The sequence below is a fragment of the Homo sapiens genome, chromosome 14, assembly GCF_000001405.40.
Source record: "Homo sapiens chromosome 14, GRCh38.p14 Primary Assembly".
NCBI lineage: Eukaryota > Metazoa > Chordata > Mammalia > Primates > Hominidae > Homo > Homo sapiens.
In genome coordinates, this window is record NC_000014.9 from 79249207 (window position 1) to 79266611 (window position 17405).

General features: G+C 39.6%; 1 protein-coding gene across 52 annotated transcripts in view, besides 1 other annotated feature; it reads left to right on the forward strand.

Moving 5' to 3' along the window:
• The window catches only part of NRXN3 (neurexin 3), a 1697919-nt gene that overhangs the window by 1078834 nt on the left and 601680 nt on the right, over positions 1-17405 (forward strand). The gene's annotated exons all lie outside the window — the stretch shown is intronic.
• Positions 1788-1957: an enhancer, noted in NCBI's record as "experimental_37268 CRE fragment used in MPRA reporter constructs". NCBI's record gives its function as "activates a minimal promoter by MPRAs in K562 erythroleukemia cells, with activity observed for both the introgressed and non-introgressed 14:79717422 variant alleles {active_cell/tissue: K562}" and the evidence as "EXISTENCE:reporter gene assay evidence [ECO:0000049][PMID:34662402]".

Genomic DNA, 17405 nt, shown 5'->3' on the forward strand with positions numbered 1-17405 from the left:
GGGAAAAAAGAAAAGAGAAAAAATACATTATCTCTTATAAAAATGGGGGTACTCATTACAAAACTGTGTCTGGCACATGAATGTTCAGTGATGTTGACTGACCAAGGAGAGTTACAAAACAAAAACTTGGAAGTGGGAGGGGCATAGCAATCAGGGTCCCAAAGGAAAGAAGGCATACACAAAATGGTTACATGAAGAGAAACTAATGAAGGGATTTATTTCCCAGGTAAGAAAATTAGCAAGTGCTGGTGAAACACTTAGGGATGAGAAAATGTGAAAAGTCTCAATTGTCCCTAGGTTTGAATGGCCACAGAAGACAATTGGATTCCATGAACATGGCTGGTGTTGCAACCTTGTGAGAGAGGCAACTCGGTTATCACTTTGGTCCTAAATAAAATAACCCAGCTACTGGCACATTCATAACACATCAGGGAGGGTTCTGGAAGGAAGAATGAATAAATGCCCAATGTTTCTCTTATTGAGCTCTCCACTGCCAAAATATACAAGAAGCCAGAGGAAAAAGACAGTCTTATGATGTGATCTATACAGCTTATAGCAGTCAGCCTTTCTAGTGGGCAGAGAAGGAAAGGAAGTGAATCTGGGATGAAAGTGAGAATATCTAACCCAGTGTACCTGCCTAGCAGCAGAGGGGAATCTTTGACTATAAAAATGTTTCGTTGTTAAATTTTGAAATAATAAATGACTATAAGCTTTTCATAAAGTATATACCTGTATTATTAATGTTCTTATGCTAACATATCTGGTTATTAAAAAATGGTGCTTATGCACTAATAACCAATCAGTATACAGAGAGCTGTCAAGTCACTCATCTGTAAGTGCTACCAGCTGGGGTTAATAAGCAGAACTGTGACATGTGAATATTTCCTTCATGCAAACATAAACAGAAATTTGTTTTATTTTAAAAGATAGAGGAATTCTAAATATATAGTAAAAATAGTAAGTGTGTATTCCAGAAAATCTTAGCAAAAAGTCAGAACTAAGTAAATGAATAATAAATGAGTGAATGAGGTAATATAATTGGACTACAGAGACTAGGCAATGTGAAGGAGAGAAATATGATGTAGGCTTTGGGAACATGAAAGGTAGAGTTTGCTTACACTGAAAGAAAAGATAGAGAAAATGTGAACAATGTGACAAGGATGGATGTTATTAAATTTTCATCCTAAATTGTAAGATTCTTGTCCTCAGAGAAGGAAAGAGGGAGGAAAACTAGTATTTATTGAGTCTCTATGATATGCTGAGAGCTTTTACAAACCTTTGCTTGTTTAATTCTCACAAGTCACTATGAGTATTATTATCTCATTTTTACAGTAAGGAAGCCAAGACACAAAGCAGTTAAAGAACTCACTGGTTAGTGGTAAAAACCAGGAAATAATCCCAGATTCATCTCTCAGAAGCCCATTCCCTGTTTGCATACCATGCAACATTCAAGAATCTAGTGAAGGAAATAACACACCTATCAATAATTATATATCCAAGACAGAATGTAAAAATACTATGCCAGAAGTAGACAGTGCCTTGGTAACACACAGGACAGAGAAACTCTAATCAGGAATTCTGATCCAATTTCATGCAGTGGTGGCATTTAAATAAGTCTTTGAGAGATTTTTGAAATTTGAATATCTGATAGACAACATGACTTAAAAGAAAGAATCATTTTATTTATTTTTGACACCTTGGTACTTGACACAATGTCCATCAAATAGTAAGTTTCAGTAACTCAATCAAAAATAAAAATGGGAAAAATGACATCAGGTGTGTTCAGGGAAATGGTGATTTGTTAAAGGTCTGGTAGTGAGTATGAGGGATGGGTTAGAGTGAAGGCTACAGCTGACATGATAGGACAGGGCTAGTTTGTAGAGGATTTTGAATACTATTATGCAGAGTTAGAACTTTCCATAGGTGTGAAATAAGTAGCCACTGAAGGATTTTGTGCAAAGCAGTGAAATTATGTGGGCTGCACATTAGGAAGATTTCTCCGGGGAAATGTAGCAGGCCCTATTCGAGAACAGTGTTGGCAGCTAAGAACTGCATTAGTATGCCATTGTATTCATTCAAAGAGGTACTAGGGAATGAACAGCACTCTGAGAATGGGAAACAGGGGCCGAGCTGAATGATGCTGTGGAGATAGTCATTTCTCTAGTTTAGATAGGGAGAGGGAAGGGCGTCTTTCAAGAAATGACTTCAGAATTTTGAGCCTGAATAAATGGAAAAATTATGATGTCATTAACTACAGTATACAACGTACAATAAGTAGGGGTAAAATGAGGAGTGAAAAGTAATAAGGAAAATGATGAGTTTGGATCATCTGTAGAAAGAGGTCCAGTAGGTGGTTATGGTTCGGATTATTGGATGACATCACAGATATAGATCTGGGGTTCCTCCACTTAGAGGAAGTAGCTGAATCCATGGGAGGATTCACAGGTGGTGAACAATACCATTGAGGATAGAGCTCAGACCTGGGAGAGCACATTTTTAAGTGACGGGTGATAGGAGAAAAACTAATGGGATATTTGAAAATGAGAAATTGTCAGGTTCATTGCACTATTACCCCCATTTTTCTCTCTTTTATTCTCTCTTTTCTTTTTGTTTCTTTTCTTTTCTTTTTTTTTTCAGGGTCTTGCTCTGTCACCCAGGCTAGAATGCAGTGGCATGATCATGGCTCACTGCAGCCTTGATCTCCTGAGCTCAAGCAATTCTCTCACTTGAGCTTCACAAGTAGCTGGGACTGCAGGCACACCATGCCCAGCCAATTTTTTATTTTTTGTAGAAATAAGGTCTTCCTATCTTCCCCAGGTTACATTTTTCTCTTTCTGATAGTACCTTTATCTAGAACACTAAGTAGCTAATCCTTTCTACAAAATTAAAGATAGTTACTTTAGTTGACAGTTAAATATCCTATTGTACTTAAAGTTCTTGTACATTCCGACGGGTTAATCAGATGCCTCCAATTCCACCTCTTTCAAGGGTGGTGTATCTGAATGTCAAGGTGATTGGCATAACACTAATGCATAATAACCAGAAATCGAGTTTATCTTCCAAGATCTTAATAGAGGATCCTCCTCAAGAGAAAACCTTTCAGACATATCAGCCTTACAACTGGAATCTATTTACTTTTCATTTGTTTTTCACCCTATTTATGTCATTTTCCTTTTTAATTGCCAGGGATATTTATATGGAAAAGAGTTTTCCTCTTCTTATTTCTGTCAGATCTTGTAGTTGACATCTTGTTTCATTCTGTCATGCCAATGATTAAAGCTCAGTAAAATGTCCATTTTGCATATATGGCTTTCTAAAGATCCATTTGGAGGAGATCAGATGTTAAAAGAGAGGATGTTTGTTGGGGGGGTGGTGGTGGGAGGTGGGTAGGGATAGTACTTTAGAAACTGTTTCAGATCTAAGAGGGAATTAACAGGATTTCAGAGGGTGCGAGAAAAGTGGGATAATGTTAAGTATTACATTGAAAGCAGCGAATGAGACCTTTCCAAAGTGATGACAAATACAACAGAGGAGTGAGGGCTGGGGCAGTCAGCAACACAATTTTTCCACTCACTTGTGGAGCTAGAACATACCTTCCCTCTGTTTTGTAAAGATGAGCCTCCTCCCTTTCTTAGAACATTTGGAGAACTTCATAACTTTCAATATAACATTCAAGACATACTTCAAGAGTTGCCCAGCCACATCCATTAGTCTAGGTGGCACCTATGTGGTTCAGTCACATCTGTATGAAGACTTGAAGACTCCCAAGGAACTTACATCAGAAGGAGAGAAAATGGGGTTCTTCATGGAAACTTGCCATGGATGAAGGTACAACATGACCCATTGACTAGACCAAGTAGCGTGACCTGGATGTTGAGGGAAGGAGGTGGTTCCAGGTCAAGTTTGAAACTGGTTCTGAACATTCCTAGATCTGTTCTCCTGCCTTGTCTGTGTGTTTTGGGGAAGAGATTGTTTGCAAAAGAAAGAATCCTGTCACTTGTGTCTTTACTGTTCTTCTGTGGGAAAGGGCTCTGAAAGGATTGCGTTTTGACAGGAGGAAGGTGTTGAACCACTACTCGTAGATAGACAGGGAACCCTGTGCGGCCATAGTTTAGGTATGGTTGCCAGTTCTGTGGGGAATACAGTAAAAGCTTTCAAGGACAATGACATACGTGGCCTCCAGAGCATGAGGCTAGAAATCTGACATATGCGAGAAGGTCCTCTCTCACCCAAAAACTTTTACAGAAAATAACTAGGGAGGGACATCCTAGAGGGCAAAATTAGACTTCTTGCTAACCAAGTGTATTAGTTTCTTCTTATATTGCTACTCTTATTCTTCTTATACTACCTGAAACAGGGTAATTTATGAAGAAAAGAGGTTTAATTGACTCACAGTTCCACATGTCTGGGGAGACCTCAGGAAACTTACAATCATGATGGAAGGTGAAGGAGAAGCAAGCACATTTTCACAAGGCGGCAGGAAAAGAAAGAGCGAGGCAGGAGCTGCCAAACACTTTTAAAGCCATCAGCTCTTGTGATGAACTCACTCACTATCATGAGAACAGCATGGGGGAAACCACCCCCACAATCTAATCACCTCCCACCAGATCCCTCCAACATGTGGAAATTACAATTTGAGATGAGATTTGGGTGGGAACACAGAGCCAAACGATATCATCAAGCAAGTGGGTGCCCAAAACATTGAGGCAAATTGTGGAGTTTCTTTAAGTAGAATACATTTGTAAGTTCATAGTTTCAGCTTATGAACTAGCTCTTATTTGATCAGCATGAGAGCATCTAAAAGAGAAATAATAAAACAAATGGATCCATCTCTCATTATTTCCATTCCATGGTCTAACTTATTTTTTTCTTGACTACCCTTCTTCCTATAAGAAGAAGAAGAGAAAGGTCTGAGAAAAATATGTGCCCCCATAACACTCTGGGGCAACCTGAAGGCCATCTTCCAAAAGTCCCCTCTGCCTTTCTCAGAGAAGAGATTGTTAGGCTGATCCATGCTTCTGTAACACACAGTCCACAAGAATGCATGGCATGCAGTGACAAACCAAGAATATTCTGATAATCTCAGTTGAATCTAAGCATTCTATGGCAGAAACTCGCTTTTAGTAATCTGCTATCTGTTAAAGAAAGAACAATTTGGTCTCAAGCAGTGGGGAAGATCAGCTCATTTACAAGACTGTCACTTAATGAAGCTCCTTGGTGACTTTTCTGTGATGAATTTAGACATTGAAAAGAAATATTTCACCTCTTCACTCTGCTCCATAGGCTCAAGCAGAAAAAATGGGAGACATTGTATTTCTAGTTTCTTTCATCCAAAGCTTTGCTCACTTATGTTGACATTGTGCTGAACAGCTGACGAACATGCGGGCAGGCCAAGGAGGATGCTGTCTTACTGTTGGACTCTTCTCTGGGCAAAGTTCATTATTGTGCTGGCCTCAGACCACTTTAGCTGCCATCAGTTGAGAGGAAAAGAAAGAACTGCATTAAAAAGAATGTCTTGCATTACAGGCTTTAGAGGGGAAACTAGTGAAAAAACTGCTGATGCTTTGGGAGGCAATTTCTTCCCTCCCTGCCTGCCTCCCTCCCTCCCTCCCTTCCTTCTTTCCTTCTTTCCTTCTTTCCTTCCTTTCTCCCTTTCTCCCTTCCTCCCTCCAACTCTTCCTCCCTCCCTTCCTTTCTTCCCTCCTTTCTAGTAGATGTCTCTGATTCTACCTCTTTTTTCAATTGATTTATGTGCTTTTGCTTGGCAAGTTTGCGCTAACTCCCATAATTGCTTGGAAGGGCGGTGTTGATTTAAGCCTTGTTTCATTGAAGGAGAATAGCATTCCTTCTTTCATAACAGACCAATTAAAGACGACACAATGACTTCTTCTTTCTGTAAGCTTTCCTTGATTCCCTGAGCCAATTTTGAAATTAAACTCTTCTTCAGTCCTCCTAAACTCATTGCACAGAAACAATCACAAACTCACACTGTCAGGAGTGGCCCAGGCCATCTGGTTCCACTGTTTGCAAGCCTCCATAGTGCCGTCATAGAGGCATTTCCACAGTATTCTAGAGACACTGTAAACCTTCTCCATAATAGGCCAGATTTTCCTAGCAGGGACTAATACTAGCTGATGATAGCTAATAGGTACTGATTGCTTACCCTGCCTGGTGTTTTACAGATAGTGTTTAAATGGCAGTATAGGGTTAAGAGTATGACAACCAGAGCCAGAGATATTGGGTTCCAATCCTACCATTTAATCCCTGTGTGACCTTGGGCAAGATGTTTTACCTTTCTAAACCACAGTTTTCTTCTTTGTAAAATGGGAAAAAATTTAGCTACTGCAAGTTGTTGCATTAAATGAGATAATTTAAAGTAGAATGTGAATCGTAATACCCAGAATGTTCTAAAAATTAATGTTAATTATCATCCTTATTATCCATTGCTTATCTCCAAATGCTTTAGTGTAATTTTCAACATGGTGCTACATAGCGAGGATTATGCCCTCTGAAATTGTCACACATCAAGACTGGTGGCTGAAGGCCAGCAAAATGGTAATTGTGATCATTATCTAGCACATTTTCTTCTCTAGAAGATGGATTTTAAGTCTCTGCTCATAAGCTGATTGGTAGTGCTGCCTTAGATTGGTATCTTCTGTTTTGGGGAAAGAAGGTGATTTTGCCAGATTTCCTCAGTTTTGATCATTGGGAATATACAATAATGGAAATTTGCCATGGGAGGCTGGGAACCCATAACTAAACAGTCCATGATAATCCTATATCCAACTCTTGGAAAAGGGAAAAACAACACTTCATCTCAGGATTGCTTCAGGGTGAATACTGTGCCTACTACCCATATTAAATGCATTTCTTTATGTCCATCCCTCCTCTCTCTCTCTGTCTCTCTCCCTCTCTGTGTGTCTTTCTCTCTCTCTCTGTCTGTCTGTCTCTCTGTCTCTCTCTCTGTCTCTCTCTCTCTCTCTCTCACACACACACACACCCCCCAGAAGAGCATTTTGGCCACTTAAAGGAATGCTGTGAGGAATTACAGATTTTGACTGCGTAAAATATTGTGCGTTGTTCCAAGCAAAGGTAAAATTCTCAAACTGTTGAAATTGTTTTTATCAGCACTACTCCTAATCATAATTACTGTTGTCATTAGTCAGTGTTGGGTACCACTACCTTCTGTGATAACACTTAACACATTGTTAGCAATTACACAGAACTTCCCAATTCTGCCAGCTCCATGCTACATCATCAATACCATTTCCTGTAGTAGAGTGCCCCCTAGCACCTCCACGCTTCTCTCAGTTTAATTTGCTTTTTGAGCCCCCCAAAGAGAGACTACTAAATATCAAAGGCAGCTTTCACTCTTTAGGGACTTGGGCTTTCCAAGTGGTTAAGTGCCCAGCATTAATCTCCTGAGATTTGTTCATCTGACTTCACAGCAGCTGGAACAGGGACAGAGATCTTTTGGACAGCCTGTTCTGCCAGAAGCAGAGCAGGTGGCTTTCTCTCGGGTCACAATTGAATTTAAAAATCCCATTAATTTTGTCAAGTCAACTTAATTCTCTTAACCTGATAATTATCTTCCTTTGGAAAAAGAACAATAAAAGAGTAGGCAGACCTCTGTTAAGCAATGTTTAAAGTGTGTGTGTGTGTATGTGTGTCTGTGTGCACATGTGTGTGTGCATGCATACATGTGTGTGACAGAAAGAGACAGAAAGAAAGGCTGCCTGACTGATTATAGGTTTATAAGGTTCACTTCTTAGTTCATCTCTGAAAACAAGAGATTTTGGCTGCTGTCTTATTTGTCCTTAAATAATTTGGGTGATCCACCTGGGCATTAGGTCACAGCCTTGGGCCCTCTTTTTAAAGCACTTGCATGCCTGGGAAGAAGGTGGTAGGCTCTTACAGCAGCAAATAAGAGTGTATTGCTTAAACCTCTCTTTGAAGGCAGGGAGGGCGAGGGGGAGGTGTGAGATATTTTAAAAATAAGATGTGCTGCTAAATTCTCTGCCAACCTCCGTTCATGCTGAGTGGAGTGTAAGTAACAAGTATCAGATAGTTCCTCCAGATGTCAGCTATTTAAAGAGTCACATGCTAGAAGTTCTGTGGATAGCAATTGTCTTATTCCTGGTGGTGGTGGTGGTGGTGGTGGTGGTGGTGGTGGTGGTGGTGATGGTGGTGGTGGTGGTGGTGGTGGTGATGGTGGTGATGGTGGTGGTGGTGGTGGTAGTGATGGTGGTGGTGGTGGTGGTGGTGATGGTGGTGATGGTGGTGATGGTGGTGGTGGTGGTGGTAGTGATGGTGGTGGTGGTGGTGGTGATGGTGGTGGTGGTGGTGGTGGTGATGGTGGTGGTGGTGGTGGTGATGGTAATGATGGTGGTGGTGGTGGTGGTGGTGGTGACGATGGTATTAGGAGGTGGATGCTGCCTCACAGAAACTTTTATCAGCAAGAAAGTGTGGGAATGTGTTTGTGCATTTGAGAAGTAAGACAAATTAGACCAGAGGGAAAAAAATGACCTAATAACTCAGGAAGATCATGATATCAACCTTTGTACAAGTAACATTTGATTTTTAAATGTATAAAGCAAGAAGAATGTCCAGGAACTCTCAATTCCTGTAAAATTATTGTATTTTCCTTAAGAAATTAACTTATAGGCCGAGAAATTATACAATAAGGAAAATGATTCTTATTCAATTTTAAACTTTTCTCTACTGCTTTACCTAAAATAGACTGGAAAAAAAAAAGTTGTGACTGTTCTCTTTTGTTATCTCTTTGAATCCCAGTGGTAAAGGACTTCTTCCTACAAGACATAATGAATTGATCTGTTTAAGTTAGTAATCACTGTGAGGAAGTGGTAGGGTCAAGACTGATTAGAGTCTTCAGAATTTCCCCACCAGTTCAAATGATGTTTTCTTACACTCATGCTTAAAAGTTCTGCATAAGGGTCACAAAAATTGTTAAGCTTCATTTCTTCTCTTCTCTTCTTTATTTAATTTTTGGAGACAGAGTCTTGCTCTGTCACCCAGGCTGGGATGCAATGGTGTGATCTCAGCTCACTGTTACCTCCGCCTCCCAGGTTCAAGTGATTCTCGATTCTGGTGCCTCAGCCTCCCAAGCACCTGGGATTACAGGTGCGCACCACCACACCTGGCTAATTTTTTTGTTTTTGGTAGAGACCAGGTTTTACCATGTTTTCCAGGCTGGTCTCGAACTCCTGCCCTCAAGTTATCTGCCCATCTCGGCCTCCCAAAGTGTTGAGATTACAGGCATGAGCCACCACACCTGGCCCATTCCTTATATATTTTTAAAAATAACCTGTTCTTCTTCAGTTTCTACAAATTCTGGCTTTATTCTTTTGCTTAATTTGAATTTCAGCTGTGTTAATAACCAGAGGGACTCCAAAGGATGTAGTTTTATAATTTCTCTGAGGGTCAGTTCTTCCAGTTTTATATGGAAGAGAAATAAGATAGCTCCCAGCTCTTGGCTCATTGTTGGTGACAAACTCAAGTAACAAACACTGCCTTTCTAATGGGAGATATCATTATGCTCAATTCCTCCTAGTGTCTCTTCTAAAACAGATACTCAGATAAAACACTTATCTCTGGGAGAAACAGATAGGCAGAGAAAAGAAGGGTATGTGATTAAGTGAAGGTAGCATTTCTAGAACTGAAACTTTGTCTTTTCCTTCAACTTCCATGGCCCTTTTGAGTAATAGAACAAAGTAGAGATAGGTTTGGTTGTGTCAAACACAGTGGGATCAGATGTCCTTCAAACAGACTTTGAGAGACAGTGTGGTCATGGGTTTTATTTTTTTTCCTCACTTTTTCTTTTCTGGAATCTTCTGCAGGCATCCCAGGTTGAGACACTTGCAAAAAAAAGATAAGAGGCAGCTATACAGGGGAGAATCGCAACCTGTGTAGTCACCATGTGACCACTTGTAAAACAGTCCCAGCATCCCATCTTAGTTTGTCCCTTGGTAGGGCAAGGAAGGTTGTGAGCTTTTGTTCGTGATGTTAAATAAAGAACATTGTGTGTCAAAAGAAGTAGACTTCCTTATCTGCTGTTTACAGCTATGAAAGAGGAGGTGTTGGTCTTTCTTCTAAGCTCTATCTTCCAGCTTTTTTTTCCTACCTTCTGTTTCACATGATCTCATACAGAAAACTTCTGACTTTCCAATGTAGGGCTTGTTCTGTTGTCAGCATTTGTAGTCAGCATTTCTCTAGTGTTTTTCTAAAACCCTTATCTGCAGGGAACGTCAACGTGGTTGTAGCATCAATAGAATAAGGTTTTAGTTATATATATATGTATCTACATATATATAGTTATCTATATATATAGCTGTATATATAGTTATCTATATATAGCTATATATAGAGTTATATATATATAGCTATATATATGGTTATCTATATAGCTATATATATAGTTATCTATATATAGCTATATAGTTATCTATAGATAGCTATATATATAGTTTATATATATAGTTTTATACACACACACACACACACACACACACACACACACATATACACACACACTTAGCTTTTCTGTTTCAACTTTGAGTCATAATGTTGAATGAAAACTGAGTCCAAGATTGATATTCTGGGGTCATCTACATGGAGCACTGAACTATCTTCAGTGCATTACATGGGAAGGTTAGATATTGGTAAGAAAGTTAGGAAATCAATCTAATTTCTCCTATTCTGTCTCCCCCACCTTTCCTTTTACCGTCCATTGTGTGCAGAATTCAAGAGTGCCATTCACTCAGTTGTGCCAGAGCATAATTGCTGATAAAGTAGAGCTGATGAATTTGCACTATGGAATGATCCTGGTCATATGTTTTCCTGAAATTTTCTCAAGTTTTGCAAATTTATTTTCTATTTCATACTTGTCTAATATTTTTGATATGTACAAATATGTATCTACCTTATTACTTTAGTGAGATGGGACTCATGTTCTCTCATACACAAATACATATATCTTATGTATTTAAAACATATCCATATCTATAAATTATATTTTATAAGACTCACATATCCATATCTATAAATTCTATTTTATAAGACTCTAGCTAAAACTGAGTAGTGTTTTAAGAATTGTTAAAAAGGCAGACACGTCTTGGGATGCTAGCAGGTGGGAAGTATGATCTGTCCTTAATAAAACATGATTAATCTCACAAAAAAGGAAAAACTCTCCCATTTAAGGCCCAGAGAACTAGGCTAAACCAGAAAACAGAGAGGCTTGTGTTGGGGAGTACTTTTGACAGATCCCTCACCCCCATCCGCACAGCCACCCACAACATAGGTGTATATTGTCTCTGTATGATTTCGTATCTGGTGCTGTTCTGCACTTCTCAGTTTGGGGGCTGAATTCCTCAGCATCCTTGCCACATTACAGAAATAGAAAGCCCAATATCATAGTCACACCACCACCCCACTTGCCACCCACAATGTAACAGAAGAGCAGGCAGCCCTCAGTTTCCGAAAGGGTTGTATTCTCAATGTTACTTTATAAATTCTCAGAGCTCAGATTATATTTTCCAGAGAAATGGTATATTCTCTTTCCAGAACTCAAACACCTACTAACCCAGAATATTCCCAATGTCCTAGTCAAGAGATACTATAGTCAAGTACCTGGCCACATAGGAAATGCTTTCTAAAAGGGTATGTATTTGGAATTTTAGGTTAGGATACCAATGACATATTTTTCACCATTACAGATTTGATAACAAGATCTGGGCTACCCAAACACCTACTTGCTGTCTGCAAAGATCCTAGGCTAGTTAGTTCTTTATCCAGGTTCATGGCAAAGTTTGAGAGGAGATTCAAAGGTAAGAAAGGGGCTCCAGCTGGAAAAGGACATGGTGAGGTGCTGGACTTGATGTGCTGGGAAGGGGTGAGGAGGAGGGTGAGATATATGTGAGGGGCATAATGGGAGCAGTGGGAATTGGGAGACACAGGGAGAAGAAACGAAAGCTGAAGGAGTGGACTTTGAGGGTTAACAAAGAAGAGAAGCAGAACATAATTCAATTCAATTCAACATACTTTGTTGATCACCCAATCTGGTATGTGCCAGAAAAGTGAGCAAAGTTGAATGAGATGTGTTCTCCACAGGCGAGATCTCCTGTAAGGGAAGGAGAAAGGGACATATGCAGATTTGCATTCTTGGAGCAGATCTGTTCGGTTCCAGACTAGAGATGCAGAAAGGGCACAGAGAAGGAGAGATTTATCCTGACTTGAAGATGAGGGGACGTCTCATGGAAGAGGAGGCAGTTAAGCTAGACCTGAGGATGCTAAGTGCCTCACATAAGTAGGGAAAGAAAGCATAAGTCCAGTCTGGGAAAATGGTGAGTGAGATGAAATCCCACAGATAAGAAAGGTGCTGTGTGTGTGTGTGTGTGTGTGTGTGTGTGTGTGTGTGTGTGATGGGGTGGGGGCGGGGGGATGACAACATGCCTACAGAATACAGGGGGATGTGAAAGAACAATTTACCTTCCAGAATAAACTTCCTTCTTTAGCACTATGCACATATTATCTTGGCCTCTAATGAGACTGCAATCCTGCGGGCAAGTTGTGGTTCTCATGGGATAGAAGAAGTGAGGATGGGAGAGGGTACCGAGGAGGGGCTCTGGGACTTTGAGAATTTGGCAGTTTGGGGCTAGTGGGCAAGGAGATTTTTCCCACTTCTTGCTTCTCTAGATCAACTACTACCTGGCCTATTGTATGACTCTCAGATGCTAATGTGGTGGGAGTAAAGAAGGAAGCATGTCCTTGGAGCCCAGATTATATTTCAGGGTATCCAAGGCATCAGAGAAGGGAAACACAGGGGAAGGAAATTTTTAGAGGAAATGTGGAGGCTTGGAATGCTCCACATTTATACAATGTTTACACACTCAACATTGTATAAAACCAGTATGAAAGACAGGATTAGTCTGAATTTCATGAAACATTCTCTTGGGCCCCTCCTGCCCACAACTTCTTTTAAAAGGAAAAATGAAGTGCCCAATCCTCACATTTCTTCCCATGCAAGTGAACCCCTGAAGAATGGATGCTGAGGTTGGGGCTGCTCTCTGATCAGCAAATTCTGAGATACTAGAAAAAAAGAAGGAGGAAGAGGAAGAGAAGCATGAGGAAGAAAAAGAAGGATAAGAGGAAGAAAAAGAGGGAGAAGGAAGAAGAAAGGAGGAGGAGGAAGAAGGAAAAGGAGAAGAGGAAGGAGGAGGAGAAAGAGGAGGAGGAAGGAGGAAGGAGAAAGGAGGAGGAGAAGGAGGAGAATGAGGAAGGAGAAAGGAGGAGGAGGAAAGAGGATGAGGAAAGAGAAAGGAAGGAGAGAGGAGGAGGAGGAGGAAGAAGAAGAAGAATAACAAGAAGGAGAAGAAGAATCATTTTTCCAAATATTTGTCAAAAGCATAATGCTTCTATTAAAATGTTGAAGTGCATATTTATGTTTCAGGAATTTGGGGAGAGGACAAATGTGTACAAGGAGGCAGTCACTCCTGTAAGTGCTGCACACATACAGGGCCTTCAAAGCAAAGAGAGAGTTCTGCATTTCAGGGAAGGCAAATGGCTATGGACATTCACAGAAACCTGGAGAAAGTGGATGGCTCCTGGGTGGATAGCAACACTGATAGGTACAAAGCGAAGAAGGAGGTGGGTAGCTTTCGGACTCTACTTTATCATCTTTTAGGGCCTGTGTATCTGACTACTGCTGGGATTGAATCTGCTGGATGTCTACAGCTGGAGGTTAGGGGATTTCACACTTAAAGTATGGGTGTGTGCATGCATGCTGTCTGTGGCCTGTTTGTTTGACCTCAGTCTTAATGATGAACTACCAGGAAAATGGAATTTGAGGCACTCACTACCTCTTGGCCATTCCTCAAGTGAAAGGACACAAAGACTTTATATTAAGATTTATAGCAACTTCAAAGCTATAATTTTGGGTCTTGAACACATCCTTTAATGGAATTCTTTTGTTAACCACACATATAGAAATCTCCATGTTTTCAGCCACAGAATACCACATCTATATAACAGACTAGGCAAATATTGGCATATTTCTTTTAAAAGATTACCAATCTTACCATTTAAATGAATATGCTGAAATTTAAGTATTATGTTCATATCTTTACACTTTGAAAAACAGGAAGACATCCCTCTGCCCTAGCTCAGGAGCTCAGGTGAAATGATAAAATCCGGGGAAAACATGTTTTGGTACTTTGGTAAATGTGTGTGTGTTTATCTCATTCATTAGTAACCAGAGACAAGCAGGAACATGTTAACCATCAAATCAGGAGGTGGGAGATCCTGGATCTGATTTTTACTTGTTTCTATCCATTTTTGAGCACTATGCCTTTCTAGGATTTGAATTTCTCCTCTGTAAAATGAGGGAGGTAATAAATGGCTCTTAATGAAAGGTAATAAATAGTAATAAATGAAGTAATAAATGGTTCTTCAACATTTCTGGGTCACGAAGTTCTTTAAAAATATAAAGAAATCTTTGGACTTTTTTTCCAGAAAAAAAATGCATACCCAAAGTAAATTGAATATAGTTTTGGAAAGGAGTTTTTATCTTATCCTACCATAGATATTATGTACTACACAACTCCGGGGGCACAATTCACAGACTGTGGTGTAAATGACACCACCTTGGAGGTGGGCAAAGAGGTGACTCTCTTTATAGCAGTACCTTGAACTCCAAGCTAAGAACTCTTTTGCCAGATGAGCTTTAAGATTCTCTCTGGATCTGAATTTCTTCAATTCCAGAAATGTCATTATTATTACCAACAACCCTATACTAATCTGGTTAGGCCATCTTTACAAAATACTACAGAATGTGTAGCTTAAACAACAGAAATGTATTTATTTTATTTTTTATTTTTATTTTTTTGAGACAGGGTCTTGCTCTGTTGCCCAGGCTAGAGTGCAGTGGTGACTCACATGGCTCACTGCAACTTCCGCCTCCCAGGTTCAAGCGCTTCTCCCACCTCAGCCTCCCAGGTAGCTGGGGTTACAGAAGCCCACCACCATGCCTGGCTAATTTTTGCATTTTTAGTAGAGACAGGGTTTCACCATGTTGGCCAAGCTGGTCTCAAACTCCTGACCTCAAGTGATCTGCCTGCCTTGGCCTCCCAGAGTGCTGGGATTATAGGCATGAGCCATCATGTCCGGCCAACAATAGGAATTCATTTTCTCACAGTTTTAGAGGCTGGAAGTCCAAGCTTAAGGTGTCACAAAGTTAGGTTTCTTCTGAGATCTCCTCTCTCCTTGGCTTGCAAATGGCTGCCTTCTCTGTGTGTTTACATGATGTGTGTGTGTGTGTGTGTGTGTGTGTGTGTGTGTGCGCGCGTGCATGTATGTCCCCAAACTCCGAGTGTTTCTTTGCCTTCTTATAAGGACACCAGTATATTAGATTAGTGCCTCACCCTTATGACCTCACTTAACCTTAATTACCTCTTTCAAGGCTGTATCTCCAAATTCAATATAGGAATTTTAAGAGAACACAATTCAGTCTGTAACAAATCCCAAACTGATAAACACATTGCAGAGAGTAACTAGAAAAATCAAAACATCTTTCAGATCCCTTCTACATGCAAATAAGTCTATCAAAAATTAGAATGAAGTATGCTACTTTTCAAAATGGGAATTTATGATAAATAACCAGAATTTATCTGCTACTATGCTTACTAAAGGGGAAACTGTTACAGAGGTTTATTTAGTATTACATATACACGCATGTATATATCTAGTATATATGTGTGTGTATATATACATTTATTTAAAAACTAACTTGATGTTGTATAAAATAAATTAACTTTTAAATTAACTGGCCAAATGTCGTATATAGTAGGACAAAGAATGAGTTAAGATGGAAAAAATTTTAATAACCTATAAACATTCTTAGTTTTTGTTTTTCTTTGGGTCCTCCAAGTGATCATCTTCGTGTAACATAAATCAAACAACCAAAAATCTCTTCCACATCTGGTAAGTGAGGGTAGGAGGAATGGGGGTTGCTCTTTTTTTTTTTTTTTTTTTTTTTTAAATTTTCCTGATTTTTCTTTAACTATAATGGAGGATCAGGGGCTGAGAAGAAAAGGCCAAGAGTTTCTTGTCATTTTTATTTATGTATTTATTATTTCTCCCCCAGTGCCACATATAGTAACCACCACCTTCTGAGTAATTCCCGAAGCAACAACCATTCTACACCCCACCCCCAGTTACCCTAGTGCCAATGGTAGCTAAAGAAGAGAAATGTTCAAGAAGAAGATTTACATATTGCTGGATGTTCTTATTCTTAAAGCCTCACCACGATTCTATGGCTGTATAGTCCATTCAGCAATGAGTCAAGCCTGTGAGTTAGCAGTGTTACAGACTCACCAAGAATGTATGGCACCACCCAATAGCATACTGTCCTTTCATCCTTTTTTGCTTTGCATGTACTGACCTTTTTCTCTATTCATCTTCTGTACACCGACAAGGTATACATTTTAGGAAATTACATCTATCAGGCACAATGACTCCCTCTGTGATGTTTCACTCCCACGCAACACTCCCTTGGATGAAATGGCTTGCTCTCTGCCTGAATTGGGCTAAGATATATGCCTGCTGAGGGCTTCTGCCCTCCCATCTCTCTTCTACCACCCCTGCCTTGTGAATTATCTTCTTTATTCCTAGGGAATCTACAGTAAATACTTTGTCATCTATAGTCATTTGCTTGAAATTAACAGGTGGGTGGTTGGCCAAGCAAGGCAGGAGAGACGTGGGACAGGAAAAATAAATAGTAGGCACAAGCATACCAGCAGGTGTTATTATTCCAAAGCTGTGTAGCTCTTTAGCCCCTGTTTCTATTATAAAAATTAAAATTTTTAAAAGGCACCTGGGAATCTATAGGAGAGAGTCAGTGGTTAAGTGAGTTGCCTGATATCTGGCAATTAATGTTTGAGCCAGGGACTAAAATCCAGATATTTTTGATTCCTAAAGTGTGATTAAAATATGTCTCAACCATGACATATTAAACTATTGGAAATCATACGTAATACAGTCCTTTCTATATTACTTCAAAACCTGGTTTAAAGAAACAAAAGTATGATTTTTTTCATGACTTTTCAAAAGCCTTCTGATTTTCTCCAGCTATAAAGGTTATATATATATATAACCTTTAGAGCCAAATATATATGCTTTCTCTTCTTTCTCTTAAAGGTAAGCTTTATGCTCATTATTGGGACTGATGTTATTGATCATATCAGACTTCTCTTTTGGAATAATGTTTCCAGGATTTTCACTTTGAGAGGATCAAAACCCAAAAAACATCAGATGCATTTTTCTGGCATTTAGTTCCCAGGTTGGGCAGTACATTTTCAAAGTATAATTGATTTTGTCAAGGTCTTGAGTTTGGG